The sequence below is a fragment of the Homo sapiens genome, chromosome 14, assembly GCF_000001405.40.
Source record: "Homo sapiens chromosome 14, GRCh38.p14 Primary Assembly".
Lineage (NCBI taxonomy): Eukaryota > Metazoa > Chordata > Mammalia > Primates > Hominidae > Homo > Homo sapiens.
The window spans coordinates 98,263,894-98,281,390 of NC_000014.9; the positions used below are offsets into that span (position 1 = coordinate 98,263,894).

Sequence of the window (17,497 nt, forward strand, 5' to 3'; positions counted from 1 at the left end):
GGTACAATCTGGCTCTAATTGTCAGTGTGGCAGAAACTTTGGGCAGCCTACCCCAAACCATCCTTACTTTTGCATTGCTGCGCTGACCATGTAGATAGTTCTGGCCTGTGACGATCAGGAACAAATCCTAATTAATTGTAGAAACAGCATCTCCCTTGCTGGTGATGGGTGAAATGAGGGCATGTAACCCGATGTGGCCGATGAACTGTGAGGAGATATCCTCTTGCTCTTTCTGGGAAATAGTTCCTCTCTTATTAAAAGAGACACAAAGAGGAGATGCCCCTTTGTTATGAGTTGAACTGTGTCTCCTAAAAGATTTATACACATCCTAACCCCTGGTACTCCAGAACATGACCTTGTTTGAAAATAGGATCATTACAAATAAATTTAGTTACGATGAGGTCATAGGGTAGAGGGCCCTAACCCTGTATGACTGGTGTCCTTCTAAGCAGGGGAAAGAGAGACAGAGAGAAGAGCACCATGGGAAGACAGGGACACACAGGGAGAAGACAGCCATGTGATGGTGGAGGCACGGATTGGAGTGATCTATCTGCTAGCCACAGAACACCAAGGATCACTGGCAAACCCTGGAAGCCAAAGAGGTAAGGAACAATTTGCTCCTACAGGTTTCAGAGGAAGCACGGCCTGCTGAACACCTTGATTGTGGACCACTAAAGTCCAGAATTGTGAGACAACCTGTTTTTGTTGTTTTAAGCCACTCCGTTTGTGGCACTTTGTTACAATAGCTCTAGGAACCTAATTTCTCTCTCATTTACAGGTCTCTGTAGAATGCCAGAACAGATGCAGCCATGCAGAACTTCGAGAGAAGCTGACCTGGGGCCAGTCTATCTGCTATGGAAGGCAGAGAGAACGCAGAAGGAACCTGCATTCCTGGTTCCTTGACTGAGCCAATGTCCTAATTTTCCAGAGCCTCCCTGCCATCTGGTTCTTTGCAGTGTGGTGTCATAACCTGCTCTGTCCACTTGGGTCAGGGATCCTTTCATTTACTGGAGAAAACATTCTAACTGCTCTGATTAGGTTGATGCTGCCTGGTCACACCATCAGGAGAGCCCTTTTCACTTGAAACTATACAAAGACAACAAAAGAAGGCTTTGATAATTACTATCCTCCTGTTCTTTATGAGAACTTTACCTGATTACTCAACATTCTGATGCACAGTGAGTTCAATCTTCCTCTCCATTTTCTACCCTAAAATAACACATATTACTGGGGATTTACACCTATGCTGGGCCACTCTGGCTTCTCTACTGTTTTCTGAGTCTGTACTCTCCCAGTACCTCTGCACCATACTGGAAAGGGCTCGTTTGCTTCAGTGCCTTCATGTATTAAGCCACACTGTACTCAACACTTGCTTAAAATGTATGCTTTAGTAGAGTACACTTACACAGCCAGTGTTACTTCCCCATTTATCCTCTGTGAATGGCCAGCTCTCTGCTTGATGTGTTAGTAACAGACATGCTGGGACTATGGACTGAATTGTCTCCAAACTTGATGCCCATGTGTCTTCTTGGTTCCATTCTCTCTGTTTGGGAACAATGTCCTAAAGAGTCTGGGTAACTGGAAGGACAGTCTAATCCCCTCTTGAATGAAAGAAGCATCTCTTGCTCTGGGCTGCCATGGGCAATGGATCCACTGTTGAGGAGATGAATAGCATTGCCCAGGTCAGTGAGTGATGTTACTTGTGTGCTAGCGTCAACCATACCCCACCCACAGCTCTACTCCAAACATTGAATCTCAGGAGGTACTGGGACACATGGCTACTTAATTATTTTATGGCCAGTGTGTGCTACCCACAGTGCCGTATAGTAAGAATATCATTATTCATTGAATGTGAACATGATGCCATGCATCTTGCTAAGGACTTCACATGGGTAATAGAGAGAAAATTGCTGCAATAAAATAAATGTGGTAAGTACTGTCATTATCCACCATTTACAGATGCAAAGACTGAGCCACGGTGAGGTTGAGTAGCCTACCCAAAATAACACAGGCGGTATGTGGTTGAGCTCAGTGTTGGTATTTCCTAGATATATATTGCAATATAAATGGAACCAGAGAAAGCAGAAGTAACAGGCAGCAGAAGAGAGGAGAGAGCTAGGAGAGAAAGGAATCACTGTAAGCCAGGAACTGTGCTCTGAGTGTGAAGAAACAGAAAAAATCTAGGGGAAGGAGAGACAGGCTTGAGAGGTCTGGCTTGAATAGTTGCTGGGATTTCTGGGTTCTCGTGAGAGGGAGACTCATTTTATTCATAAATTAAAGGGCATGAGAAAAACTACAGGGCTGGAAGGGCTGGAAACCCCTGAGTTACACAGACCTTCTGAATATAAATTGGATGGGAGAATTAACATTCTTAAATGCTCACTGTATCAGGCACCATGCTGGGTACCTTAGAAGCACTAACTCATGTCTCTCCATTTGCCTGGGGCACAGGAGAGTTGAGAGAGTTCCTCAAAGTGTTCCAGCCAGGGAGGGGCAGGGAAAGGGTCAGGACCCAGGCTGGCCTGATGCCAGAGGCCACCTTTCCCCACCATGTCAGCCACCCACAAAGAGAGCATTTCCCACTGTCTAGGTTCTGCACACAGCTGCCTGGGTACATTGCATATGGGGGGTCCCCATGGGGAGCTCCTGATACTGAGTCTTTCCTGCCTGTTTCCATTTCCCCTGGGGTTCAGCTACAACATGCCAACCTTCTTCCTCTCAGCCCCTTGCCCCAGGGCCTAGGGGCCTTGGGGAGAATCCAAGCTCAGCATCAAGACAAGCAATAATGGTCTTCAGTAGGGTGTCAGAGAAAAGCAAGTTCACCCATGCAGTCACTTCTGGACCAAGACACCTCTGCCATGGGCTTTCCATTTCATCTCTCTGTGTCCAAGCAGTAGTTAGACAGATAGCTTCATTGAGATTCGCTCTTCTTTTTCACTCATATTTGACTTTTCTCTCCTATTTTCTTATCCCCTCCTTATTCTCTCCTTGGCATCAGTAGATTCTCAATAAAAATAGTATTTCTCTTTTTTATTCTCAATAAAAAGAGTATTTCTCTTACAAAATAAGAATGTAAAAGCTCAATTAAAGGCGAATGGTAAACAAATTCTTACATAGTCACATAATCACAGTTGGCCATAAAATGTTGAGTTGTAGAATAATTTGAACACTTGCCAAATTTTACTAACCACAGTTGAGTGATGGAAGTACAATGCAAACAAAAAAAATAATATTTCCTTTCTCTTCTTTAATTGCTCTTTATGCTTACAAAATATGCTGAGGACACTGGGGAGAAAAACACGGTCCAACTTATCTCTGAGGTAGATGCTTATCTCTCAGGTAGATGGTAAATTGACAGAGAGAGAGAGACAGATAATGGTGAATGGACAGACAGATGGATAGTTAGATCAATAGAGAATGGAGGATGGATGGACGGATGGATGGATGGGTGGGTGGATGGATGGATGGATGGATGGATGGGATAAGTAGATGAATAGGTAGATAGAGATATAGATAATGTATGGATAGAAAGATGGATGGATGGATAGAAAGATGGATGGATAGATAGATAGATAGATAGATAGATAGATAGATAGACAGATAACAAATGAATGGGTAGAGACTGGATGACAGATGATGGATGGATGGATGGGTGGATGGTTGGAAGGATGGATGGATGGATGGATGGATGGATGGATGGATGGATGGATGGGTGGATACATGAGATAGATAGATGATAGATAGATAGATAGATAGATAGATAGATAGATAGATAGATAGATAGATATAGGTTTACATACATATATCTTTATCTGTCTATCTTGCTATTTATTTATCTATCTGGTGGAATTTGAAATATTTGTGTGATCCAGGCACCTATCTTTAAAAAGGATGGAGTACTTGACCTTCCATCCTTGTCCCATGGCCCTTCTTCCTTTGCTTGTTCAGTCAAGCCAAATCCCACCACGTCTCTATCATTGTAAAACTTTTCAGGGAGAAAACCTCAATGGAACCAGGGAAAGCATACCTACCAGGTCTTTTACTTTTACTTTTTTTTTTTAAGGTTGAGTTCCACACACTGTTGGTGGCACCTAAAAAACCACTGCCACCAGTTGAAAAGTTAATTATGGATTACCCCTTGAAATAAAATACAAGTTTTATTAGAAGTGGAGGGATAAATCAAAACAGCTGGAGGGGGAATGCCATGAAACTGCTATGACGAAGCCCATGATGTTCTACTTAGAGTAAACATTCTTTTTATTTTATTTTTTTTAAGTCCTGGGTCTGCTGTGTAGAAAGTCATCATCGCTTTCATGTGGGACAAAAGAGGATTTGGAAAGGGAATTTCCTTAAATCTGTGCATTGAAAATGCAGCTTATGGGAGCCTAAAGAAAATACGTTTTGCTTTTTCTTACAGTGGGTGCCTCTTAATTGTGACTTTTATAAACCCCTTCTGTAGCTATCATAACCATCCAATTATCTAACTTCATTTTCGTATGATTAAAAGAGCCTCTCTTGCCGAACATATGACAATTATTAGAACGTTTCTAAAATCTTTTTTTCTAGTGATATGAAACTCCTGTAGATAAAATAAGTCTTGATTTATACAATCCTCAAGTACATGTGAATGTTATGTCTATAAATAAATACTCCATAGTAGATGCAAAATCCCTTTATAAGTAACAATACATTGGCATATTCATTGACCAAAAAGCCTTGTGATGTTAATGTTAACAAAATTAAACTTCAGCCATTTCATTCAACTAGTAATTCCTGAGTTCTAAGGACTAGGCACTATGCTAGGCAGGGAAGCTATATATGTATGTGTGTCTGTGCCTATGTGTGGACAAGTGTGTGTGTGCCTTTTTCTTCAAGAGTTCATATTATCATGGGAAACTATAGATAAATCAACAGAGGAATAAAGCTAAGGTTGATAGAGAACTTTCTATATGCCAATTTCTATTCTATGCACTTTACATCTAGTATCCCATTTAACTCTCACGTCAGCTCTAAGGGGAAAGTATTGCTATCTTTACCTTAGAAATGAACACCCTGAGAGTATAGTGGGAAGGCGAATTGTTTATGTTCCCTAGAGAGTGACTGATTTAGCTAGGGTAGATAATAAAACATATATCACAAAATATCATACATAAAATAATAGACATCTATTTACATATCAAAGTCATAATATAAAAAGCCATGGATTTTAATTTGAAGAATTGAAAAAAGCTTCAATGAAGAGAAAATTCCCAGGGAGGTAGTGAAAAGGATGACTGAACAGATAAAAATATTTTACGAAGAAGGAATGAAAAATAGGGAGAAAAGTAGGCATTGCATTACTTTTAATAAAAACAACAAAATAAGAATGTAAAAGCTCAATTAAAGGTGAATGGTAAACACATTCTTACATAGTCACATAATGCACAGTTGGCCATAAAATGTTGAGTTGTAGAATAATTTGAATGTTTGAAAAATTTTACAAACTAAGGTTGACTGAAGAAAGTACAATGTAAAATTTTGTATTAAATATAATCACCATAATGCAAATAAACACAAGCACACACACAAAATTATAAAAGAAGATAGAGTGTTTGCCTTGTTGTAAGATTATGGCTGATTTGTATTTTCATCTCTATTATTCTGTAGTCCAACTATTTTTATTCATTGTGTCCAGGTATTTCTTTTATAATCTGAAAAAGCTATAAAATATGAAATTATGAAAGATTGATGGACCTTAAATGTATTGTCATCATTTTCCTGGCTTTAAGTTGCAAGAACTTACACCATTCAGACATTTGTTGTATAGCCAAAGCACAAGTTTAGACAGAAAGCATCAGTCTGACTCATACCATGTGCTTCCCTTGGCCCACAGAATGTTAGGGTACAGTAGTCTGGAAAATGTACATTAAGGTTGTTTTCTGCCTGTGGTGCTTTAGTGCATGGAGGTAACATGAGTGAAGTATTGAGTGTAATCATGATTATAAGTGACATAATATTATAGAACTAAGCTATGGAGAGGGTAGAAGGAATGGGAAATTCTATAGATTTCTATGACTATTAGGATATTAGGCTATGATCATGGAGGTTTTCAACGGAACGTGGAATCAGAAGATGTTACTTTAAATTCCAGACCACCATGTTGAGACAATTGCCTGAACTCCCTCTCTCTCTCTCTCTCTCTCCCTACCTCTCCCTTCCTCCCTCCCTCTCTCTCCCTACCTCTCCTTCCTCCCTCCCTCTCTCTCCCTTTCTCTGTAGTCTCCCACTTGTTCTCCCTCTTGGAAATGATTTTCTTATGGTCAGAGATTTAACTCAAATCTCACTGCTAGTTAGAGGCAACCTGGACTCACCTCCCATTGCCTTTCTGCAATCCATTAGTGTGATCTGGCAATGCTCTCCTTCCTTTGTTAGTATTTCTTTTCATTCTCCTCCTGCCTTTTAAAACCATTCATGTTCTAGAGCACAGGTGACACATTCTGAGCTCAGTTTCTGCACCATTTTTCAAACTTCATGGAATGCCTCTTCCCCACTAAGGCAAGGCATTCCTGAGTAATGAGTGGAAAAAGTTTCCTGAGTCTATTTTTCAAGTTAAATAGAAGTTAGGCCTTGCAAACAATAATGACTTATCTGAAACCAATTCTTGCCCAGTTTGGAAAGACTACATGGGGAATTGTATTCAATAGCTGGAAACATCCAGTAGAATTGAATCTGGTGTTAAGTCAGGCTTGCAGAGTGCTTGGTAATGTAAAATTTAGCTTCATATTACAAAATCACTAAAGTTTTTTTTTTAACTGTTTTACTAGTGTAGAGTTTTGAACCAATGTTAAAACGTCAGCAATACAAAAAGATGAATCTTAACCTGGTAGGAAGAACATGCCGCTGATCAGAATTTCTGTGAGAACAGATGCAGAACCTAAAAGAAAATTCAATATTAAGTTTTCTTTAATTCGTGTAACAATTTTTAATTTGTATAAATTCTAAATTGTATTAATAGTAATAATAGCAATTTATATTTGGTCATAATATTTAATTTCTTGGAAATTTTCGAATAGAAATCAGGATGATCAAGGTGAAGAACAACACAATTTTATGTCTGAATTGCACTTTACAATTCTCAAAGCACTTAATTTATAAATTAATTATTCCTCAAATTAAAACACGAGAGGACATAAAATTCTTATTAGATTCTTGTTTAACTAAAAGGAACATGGATTATAAATCAGGAGAAAGAGTGACATACAGAGGATTTCTAGGGCTTGCCTTTTTACAGTTCATTTATGCATCCATCCACTCATCTATACATCCATCCATCCATTCATCCTTGTATCCATCCAAACATCGAATCATCCACCCATCCATTTATCCTTTCTTTTACTGCTATGCCTATATATCTTTATACCTTTTCTCTTTTTGCATATATATAACCGCATGTGTGTGCCTATGTATGTGTATAATTTTTAATAGGCATATATAGAACACTTAGGGTCTTTGTCCTCACAGAGCACAGTCTAGTGATCTAATGGCTGGGACATTGTTGGCTGAACTGGAATGTGGATATCAATGTGCTCTTTTCCCACTGATTTGGCGTCTCCCTTTGGGATTTGGGATATCCTGTGGATATGGCAGATATCCTCAACTTAATAGCCATAATGCTGGAAATGTTCCAGTGAAATTACCTGAAGGAAACAAGGCCAGGCTAATGTGGATGACTTGGTAAGGAAGAGACTAGATCAGTTTTTTTTTTCTTTTCATTTTGTGTTGTTTTTTTGTTTTCTGGAGAAAAATGTACACATTGCCTCCAGATAACAAAACAAAAATTATATCAGTCCATTGCATTGTACTGCATTATGCACTTTTAAAACACCTCTCCAGCCATTATTTATTCAATCAATGAGACATTTGGTCAGAGTTCATTACATGAACTTACTGTGTACATGGGGTTGGCCTTATCCATGCTCTTATAGAACTGAACTCAAAGGAGATGAACACATAAATCATGAGGAGAATGAGTAGGAGTATTGACCACTATATTGGCCATGATATGACTCTGGGGTCATCTCAGAAACCATGTGCTTCATCAACCACTGGGTGCCAGAGATCATCGGTGTGTGGAGAGGCTCAAGGAGGCTTCCCTGAGAGCCTCCTGAGACACAAGCAGACCTCAGGCCATCTGACCTAATTCATAGGTTGGGTCAGAGGGTCATGGGTAGGCAAAGTGATGTGCACACAGGCAGTGCTTGGCCACAAGGTTTCACATAAGCTAGCAGAAATAGTTTACACTTTGATTTGGGGACCAGACAGAACTAAAGTCCAATCTTGTCTTTACATACTTTCAGAGCTGGGGCCTTGATTAAAGGCCCTCAACATCTCTGAGTGTGTATAAAATGAGAAGAAAGCACTTTATCTGTGAAGGATATCAGAAGGCTTGGAAATAATGCATGCATAACACTGAGCTTAATGTCTAGCATAGAGCAGACACTTACTAGACTGTAGCTCACAGCACATGCAGGTTCATTAACCAAAGCCCCTCACCTGAGCAGACCAATACTCACAGCTGCTGCTTCTCTCAGCTCTGATCCTCTAACTTATTTTCCAGCCTTTGAGTTCTTTCTCAAATCAAATGGTCTTTATATAGCTTCCCTGGGCCACAGATTCTGTTTATCTATTCTGCTTCTAGCCTTCCTCGGTAGAAATTTAGTTCCCTCCAGCCCCAGAGGTTTGGAAGGGTGTGGTTGAGGGTTGCACTAATATCCTGTGGGCAATAGCTTCACTGAGCTTGACTACCCATTGCAAGGAGAATCCAATACATCTTGAGTACATTCACATAAAACATCAGCAAAATTAGTTTCATTCCTTTTTAAAAGACAGGAAACAATTTAAGAGTTAACCTACCTAAAAGATACACAGCTAGGAAGGAGTGGAGTTTAGCTGTTACCCTAAGTCTCTCTAAGAGACTTAGTACTAGTCTGCTGGCAGCACTGGATTTCCAGTCTAGTAGTTTGAAAAGCACATCATATATAGATTTGTACATTGCTGCACATGTAGTGGACCTGGATTTGGATGATATCCAAATCACACACGACAATTTTAGTAAAAGAGGTGGCTCTTTGCTCCAGGGAATTTGTAGTATCACTGAGTGAACAGAACATGAAATCAGGAAAGAGGAAACAAAGTTTTCTTGAGACAAAGCAACACCCAGAAAGCTCACTTGATCCAGGGAACCTGAACATGATAATGGTGGTACTTGTCAGGACTTGGAGCAGCAGGTGCAAGATTTAGTGGGTTGGTTTTAGAATATCTGCTTGGAAAGTGGAAAAACTCAATGGATCATCTAGACTTTGGAATTTATCTCCTTCCCCACTTCTCCACTCCCCCAACAACAACAACAACAACAATGACAACAAAAACACCTGGAATAAACAGGTCATACAACGAGGTAGTTGATAGAATAATGTACTTTCCTTTCAGGCACCCCTTGGAGGAGGCAGATTCTGCCCTTTAAGCTGAATCTGCCTTTCCTGCATTTCCTGAAACTCCTGCATTTCCTGAAATCTTCCTGTATTTTCCTGAAATTTCCTGCCATTCCTGAAACTTTAAGGTAACTGTGTCATTAAAGGAAGGAGAGAAGGGAAGTATTAGGACTGCAGATTTGGGGTGCATGATCAGCCTGGCTCTGAGCTTGCAGACTCCCAGAGTCAGGGAAGGGAGGAGCCACCAGCAACCTTGTGGCTTACTTGCTGAGCCCTGTCATCTGCCTGAAGCCCAGAGGTGAAGGCATTCTGAAGGTAGTTGAGGCAAAACAAAGCTAGAACATCCTTCTCAAATGCACGACATATATTCATCTACCCCTTGGATAAGTTAGAAAACAGAGGCTGAGGGTTGTAGACCCAACTGTGTGACTCCTACAATTAAAGATTTCCTGAACCAGGGGGTGGCAAAGTACCCCCTCTGTCCAAACCAAGCCCCTCCATCTGTTTATGTAAATAATACTTTACTGGACACAGCCACACCCATTCATTGATGTATTCTCTATGGCTGCTTTCCTGGGTGCAAGAAAGATGTCTGGCCTGGAAAGATGAAAATATTTACTATCTGGCCCTTTACTGAAAAAGTTTGCTAAACCCTGAAGAGGGGCACTTACCAGGGTAGGTGTCTCTGCTCAGTAGACACCTTTATGTGACAATTTCCAAAGGGACGCTAACCCTGGTTAGTCTGTCAAATAAATAAAATATTACAGGCCTTCCCAGTCAAAGACACAGAGTACAAGAAAGAAAGAAAAATAATAATAAAAGGTAATCCCATCGGATTTATCATTTCAGCCCTGAAGCAAGCCGAATGCATCTAAAGAACCCTTTCTCAGTAGAGTGGTGAGGCTGTCGAGAAGGGGACCCATCCACAGGAGCTGACAGGGAAACCAACTCAGGGAAGGGGCTGTTGATGTCCAAGGTCAGTGCTGGCGGGGAGACCACAATCCTCTGAAGACCAGCCTTAAGCCTTAATTTGTCAGGTGTTTTCTGGCATCTGAATCCTACTTACAATTGATATGGGTGGGGTGACGGGGGTACATTTGCTGTTAAAGAACAATTTGCAATTGAAATATGACCAATGCATTATTAATGCCAGGAGCCATTCTGGGGCAATATTTATTTACTCTTGTACAGTCAGAAGAGTCTCACAAGAGAAAGGTAAAAGAAAAAGAGAGAAGGACAAGGGAATGATGGAAAAAAGAAAGAGAAAGGAGACAGGCCAACAGAAAGAGAAAAAGTGGGAAAGAAAAGAGAGAGGCTGGCTTTCTTTTCTTTCTTTCTTTTTTTTTTTTTTTTTGATGTGTTTGCCTTCACGACTTCGAAGTTCTTGCTAATTCCATCTGTCCACAACAGAGCCATCGACGGCGAGAAAAAGCATTTCCATATGTGTAAATTAGCATCCAGCCTCCCTTAATCTGTGCTGTGGTCCTCTGAAGTAGATGGTGAGCTTGCCTGCCAAACCCACTAATGGCATCCGAATAGAGACATTATTGGCTGGAACTGCTGTGGGGCTGTTCTCCCCTCCAACTCTGAACCGGCCCTGGTCTCTTCTGTTGCTTCTACTCTGGACTGACGGTGTCACTTTGCTCAATTTCCAGTAAACACATGGCCCCAGCAGCCCCACTCCCTTAATGAAAGCCCCTTTCCCTGCAGACCCATGCATCTCTCTTCTAATGAGATTAGGCCCTTACATAGTGACACTGTGGTCGCCCTGCCCAGTGGCAGCTCACATGGCCAGCCTGGCTTTCAGAGATTCATAAGAATGTCTGCTGGCATCTGCTCCAAGCCTGTCCCCTCAATAGGTTGGAAGGGAGCCCACAAACCTTGCCCAGCCTCTCACCCACTGGCGGCCACACCTTTCTCTCTTTTGTTCCTTTTCTTTGTCCAGATAAGCCTGGTTCCTCTCTTTCTATTTCAATCTTGCTCAGGACACAGCACTTTATTCATTTATTCAAAAAGCATTTGTGAAATTATTAGGAGGTGCAAGAAAACGGCAGAGATTGGATGTAGTTCCTTTTCTCTTGATGCTTACACTCTGCTTGTGTAGATACAGGAGGCAGGAAACAAACAGTTGGAAGCTGGAGGTGCTTTCCAACGCAAATGTGTAAGAGCTAGAGGGGAGTATTTAGAAGGGACCGCCCGCAACGTATGATTTTGGTTTCCTGGGTTTCACCCTTGGCATTTTCTCAGGATTTTGGCTTAAGCCCATTCATTTTACCAATCCTATCCTGACCCTCTGCGGTGGTTTGTGCCTATCATCCCAGCTCTGAATACAAAGAACTTGTCCCTGTGCTGACATCCCTAAAGGATCCCAGTGAAACACTTCTGTACCTGGATTATATTTTTCCCTATAAACCTCTTGGGGAAACCTTCTTTTGCCCATTTATTAAGGAGTACATGAGGCATTTGGAGCAATTGGAAAGGGTGAACCCTTAAGGTCATTGAGTTCCTCAATATCCTCCCTTCCTACTCCTGTGGGATTTTTCCACCCACTCTTTGGAAGCTCCCACACTGCTGATAGCATTTTTGTCATTGTTTTGTTATTACAAAAGGGAGACACCAATAATATACTGTGGCAGAAAGTGAAATATTCCTCCCCCCTTTTTCTTTTTGTCTGTGCCCTTTTCATTCCTTCTGGATATCAGAGGGTGAGAATCAACAAAAGCAATCAATACATGAAAGGCTGACCAGTCCAAGTCTCTTGAGGAAGAAGGAGGTGTCACATGATCTTGGGTGACACTCGTGCATCAGGAGGTTAATGCTGTATGCCTCTGTCTTCTCATTCAGAAGTTGAGTCTTCCTGAAGACTCCCCTCTTGTCCTGATGCCATCTTCAGCCTCGCTTGGATTTTCAGTGGATGGATGAGGCACAGTGCTCTGAGTTCCCTCCAGGAGGGCTGGGAAGGACCAGGACCACTCCCTCTTCCTGTGGTCCTACACAGTGACCCACTCTCACTCTATCTGCACGTTCCTGATTCCCTCCAGCTGTGGAGAACTTCCAAGAATAATCTAGAAATTCCAGAACATTTAGGCTGGAACCAGGAGGATCTCAGAAAGCACATCATCTGCTTTTCCGACCTCTCATTTTACAGAAGAGAAGAATTCCTGAAGAGACCGATGAACGAGACAAGCACTTAACCTCAACAGAGTCTTAGGCAAAATCACATCACTCTTCAGCTCATCAAAGTCCCGGGTGACAGACTTGGAAGAAAGAACAGAAAATGTGGATTCAGGAAAGCAGCCTATAGAGCAGAGAATGGCTGTCACGCAAGATTGGTTCCATTTATTCTATGTGGCCCCAAGGGCAGCCCTAGTAACAGTGGCTGGGAAATCATGGAGAGTGCAATATTGGGGCTCAATATAAGGAATTATTCCCTGTTTTTCAGAGATCTCCAAAGAGGAAACCAGTTGCCTCACCGTGGACATCGAATAATCAGCATGCTTACAGAAAAGGAAATTACAAGACAGCTGCCATTTACAAAGCATGTTCCAGACCACCAAGTCCTCTTCCACATGATAATTTGATCCTGATACCATCTCTATGAAGCAGGTACTAATTTCCACTCACTTGTTTCTAACGAGGAAACCGAGGCTGTGCAGGGCACAACAAATGATGTAAACCTTCAGGACTCATCATGAACAAACTCCAAAGCCAGGCTGGAACTTCTGACTTTACATTCCAAATGTATCATTATTATAAACCTTCTATTACCGAAGGTACTCGAGAAGGCAGTGAGACAGTGACACGGGTGCTTTTGTACAAGATGCCAGCTTCATGTGAGGTCTCAGGTCAGAGCAAATGAGTGTCCCTTCAGAAAGCTAAAGCCCGGGGGCTCCCCAGGTGACCTGATGGCCCATGACCACGTAGTTGGTGCACACACATGCTACGGTTAAAGATATTTGCTATTTCCAATTCACAACTTTTACTGTTACACAAAGATTTTGCATGGAATTCCTTCTACGTGAAGTATTCCTCTCCTACTTCCTATGATTCTCGATAAATATTAACTGAAGTTAATATTTACATAAATATATTTAGGATAAAATCTTAAACTCAAATAAGCTATCATCTTTTCTGTGAACCCCTCAGTCTCTCACTGCCACTCCCAAGTACCCACCCTCCAAACACCCTTGCCCTGAATCATCAACCCCATCTGTAATTTTTATTCTCTTATTTATACCTTTGACTTGACTATGAATGCTTTGAGAGAAGGACCTTGTCTCATACACCTCAACATCTTTGTCCCTGGCATGCTGTAGATGCCAAGTAAAATCTGAATGAATGACTGATGTAGATGCACCAAGCCTGTTAGAAACTGCTTGCCTCGGGATATCCAAATTTTTTCTCTCCCACGTGCCCACAAGACTTGGCTTCTGATGCAAAGGAGAGAACCATACCTGGCGTCCTCGCCAGCTTGAATGCTGGGAAGGTCCTTGCGGCTGCTAAGCCTGCCTTGCCTGGTGGTGCCAGGAATGGAACCACAGTCTCTTGAGCATAGCAGATTCCATATGCTAGCCCCCTAGTCTGCTAAATCACCAGCCAGCCTAAATTTGAAACATTTCTAAAGTGTTATACAATGTTGCAATAATGTTTTTACAAAACAAAGGCTGAGTTACTGGAAGCCATTTTTGACCAATCAGCATCTTACTGAAAGAGGAGCCCTGATTGTACCATGGGTGACACAGTGCAAAGAAAAAAAAAATACCACAATCAGAGCTCAGCCAGGAAACATGTGTTTTGTAAATGGGGAAGGGGTGGTGAGGGACTATGGTTGAAATGGGAGTGAGGTGGGGGCCAGGGATTGTGAGTGGAAAATGGTTTAAAGTGAAAAAGTTGAACACAAATCCCAGGCAGATAATGCTCAGCTCTTGGGTCCTGGGGACCAATTGTACTGAGATGAAATGGTAGATGCCACTTAGAGTTAGGAAAAGTTAGCGGTCAATCAAACTTCATCCACATGGTAATGGGAGCCCTCACACAGCTTCATGCACTTGGGCTATATTAACAGTGGTAGTGTCTCAGGAAAGGGAGGTGACTGCCTTGCTCTGGTCTGTGCCAGCCAGCCCACACTTGGCATTTTGTCTTTAATTCTGAACACCAAGCTTCACAGAGGATGTGCAGAGAGAATACTCAGCGGGGAGTGACTGAGATACAGACAGCATAAAACATCAGCACCTATCCAACATAAAGGTCAACTTAAAAAGAAAACATCTTGACTATTAGAGGCATGAACTATGTTCAAATAGCTGAAGAACTATAATGAAAGGCCTGGATTGTGTTTTCGCCAAATTCCTTGCTCATTTTGGGCCCTCTGTGGTGAGTTCTTGCATAGATGGACGGATAGATGAGAGAATATGGACAGAGGGGAAGGGAGAAATACCTCGGGCCCTTGGAAAGAAAAATCACAGAGGATGCTCCCATTTGGTGGGAGGAAGAACATTGCAACAGAATGAGCTCTTCAGAGAGATGCTGACTGCCACAGACAGTGGTGAATTATCTGCCACTGGGTTTGCTGAAGCAGAAAGGCATGGACCCCCTAGCCAGAAATGATGAACTATGGACCCAAATGACAGCTGGGGCAGTGACGTGCAGGCTGGGTGAGCATTGGGTGAGTCAGGACACTTCTTACTATAGCTCACGGAAAATCCAACTCAAGACAGCTGAAGCACCCAGGGATGTGTGAGTTCCCCTGGCAAGAAGGTTAGGGACAGGGCAGGTAGGTTTTGTGGCTCCATAATATTTTCACACTCCACCTTCCTCAGCATGTTGTGAGCACAGTTCCAAGTACTGCAGAAAGACGCAGATGAAATAGTGGAGTGGGACTGCAGAGGTTGTCGTGTTCCAAGGCCCCCATGCTGAAGCTGGATTCTTTCTCCCCTGATGCATTTAGGGGAAGTAGAAATAAAAGTAGGATTTGGTTACCAAAAGGAAGGGATGGTTGTTGCATGGGCAGCCAACAGTGGCTGCCAGAGCATTTTATATTTCCTTCTCCTCTAATTTTAATTTAGGCTTATACGATATACATATATGTATTTAAATATCAATTTTACCTACTTAAATAGATGATGGCATATGATAGTTAATACTACAAAGGTGTATGTCACTTCTTGATACCTTACTATTTTTGAGTTCTCTAGTTCTTTGCAAATATATGGACTCCAGGCATGTGTGTGCGTGTGTGAAAATTACTTTTACCTAAATAGGAGTGCTCCATACATACACCTGTCTTAACTAATGTTTAGTTCACTTAGGTAGAGCATTCCATATTAGTACGATGTGTGCTTGTATATCTCTGAATATGTGTGTGTATACACCATATATATACACACACATATATATTTATAGATAATACAATTAAATATATCTATTTAATTTCATATATATATGCATACATATACACACACACACTTGAAGAATTTTTTTTTAATGGCTATCTACTATTGTGAATATTTAAGGCATTTACTGTATTTTGATTCTACAGATTATGTTGCAACAAATCTCTTTATACATTTGCTTTACAGAGTCTTCATAAAATAGCTGGCTCAAAGTGTTTGTGAAGCTTTATTCTAACTAGTCACTGCTGAACGTCTCTGCACTAGTGTTGCAGTAACCTGCGCTTCCAGCAGCAATGAAATACTCTGCATAGCTCCTCACACTCTGCCCCACGCAATGTGTTTTTAGACTCACCTTTGCCAATCTGATAGGAGAAAACTAATATTTGATAATAGTTTTAATTTGCATTTATCTTATTACAAGTAAATTTTGTATATTTTTTATGGGTAAAAGCCATTTGTGTTCCTCTTTCTAAGAACTATTGTTCCATAGAAAAACTGTTTTGTTTAATCTTTTGCCTGCTTTTTTGACTTTTTTTTTGATAATTCCTTAAATGACTAAGTTCCAAGAAGTTGATCAAGCCTCTTTCTCTCATCTTTTAGATCATGGGTTAATCTGGAAAATACACAAATGTGAGACAAGAGACAAGACACATCTCTTCTTTTTTTTCCTGTGGTCACAGAAAGCCACTTGTAGGCAGGGATCTTGGGGTAGCCGTCTGCCCTCCACCCCACCCTTGGCCTGAGACTTGATCAAGCCACTGCCACTCTGAGACTTCCTTCCCCCTGACAAGGGATCCAATCCACAGAGGCACCTCTTGTCTTTCTTGGGGGCAGTGAGCCATGAATAAGCCGATGAGTGTGAAAGCCTTTTCCAGACTGTAGAGCTAGTGTGTGTTTCCAAGCTGAAGCCCGGCCTATTGTAGGCTTGGGCAGAATGAAGCATGTTTTCTTATTTCCATTTATTCTGTGCCCCAGACGTTCGGCAACACCCACAGCAAAGGCCTTGCATAAGGGATGCCAGGGGCATGACTGCCCAGGCTGCACCACTGCCTGGAGACCCACCTCTCAGACCTGGTGTTCATGAGCGGGGTGGCAAGCCAGGCCTGTTGAGCCTCCCCCAACCACCATCTCCTCTTCATCCCTGAATTGGATCCCTCAGAATCTGAGCTCTCCTAAGACTACCGTTCAAAACTAAGCAACGTTGAAGCTGTTGGAGGCCCTTGCTAGTTGAATATCCCAGCTCCTCAGTGGGCAGAGGTGCATTCTGAGCAGGGAAGCCAACTGTAGCGTGATTCTAAATCTTCCTTCACTGTGGCAGGATTCTAAATCTTCGTTCCAGCCTCCCTGTTTCAGGACTGATGAATTATTAACGAGCCCTCTGTTTGTAATGCCGGGCTCTCTGCTTCCTCCAAATTAAATTACTGAGGAATACATTTGATTATAAACATACTTAGTAAATGTTTTCATTGTTGCTTTCTGTAGCTTCCTTTGTACTAAAGTGTTATAATGTCAAAAAGTCAACCGCAAACATCTACAGCCTGCCGTGGAAAATCTTTTAAAGCAAACGCTGGGCAAATTAAGTAATCAGAAATGAAAACCACTTTAGGACAATAGTGAATATAATTTGTCATCTCT

General features: G+C 41.6%; 1 annotated feature.

Annotated features, from left to right (window-relative positions):
• Window positions 11,275–11,452: a silencer, noted in NCBI's record as "fragment chr14:98741505-98741682 (GRCh37/hg19 assembly coordinates)". NCBI's record gives its function as "represses an EF-1alpha promoter that drives an FKBP-Casp9 reporter gene in an ReSE screen in K562 erythroleukemia cells {active_cell/tissue: K562}" and the evidence as "EXISTENCE:reporter gene assay evidence [ECO:0000049][PMID:32094911]".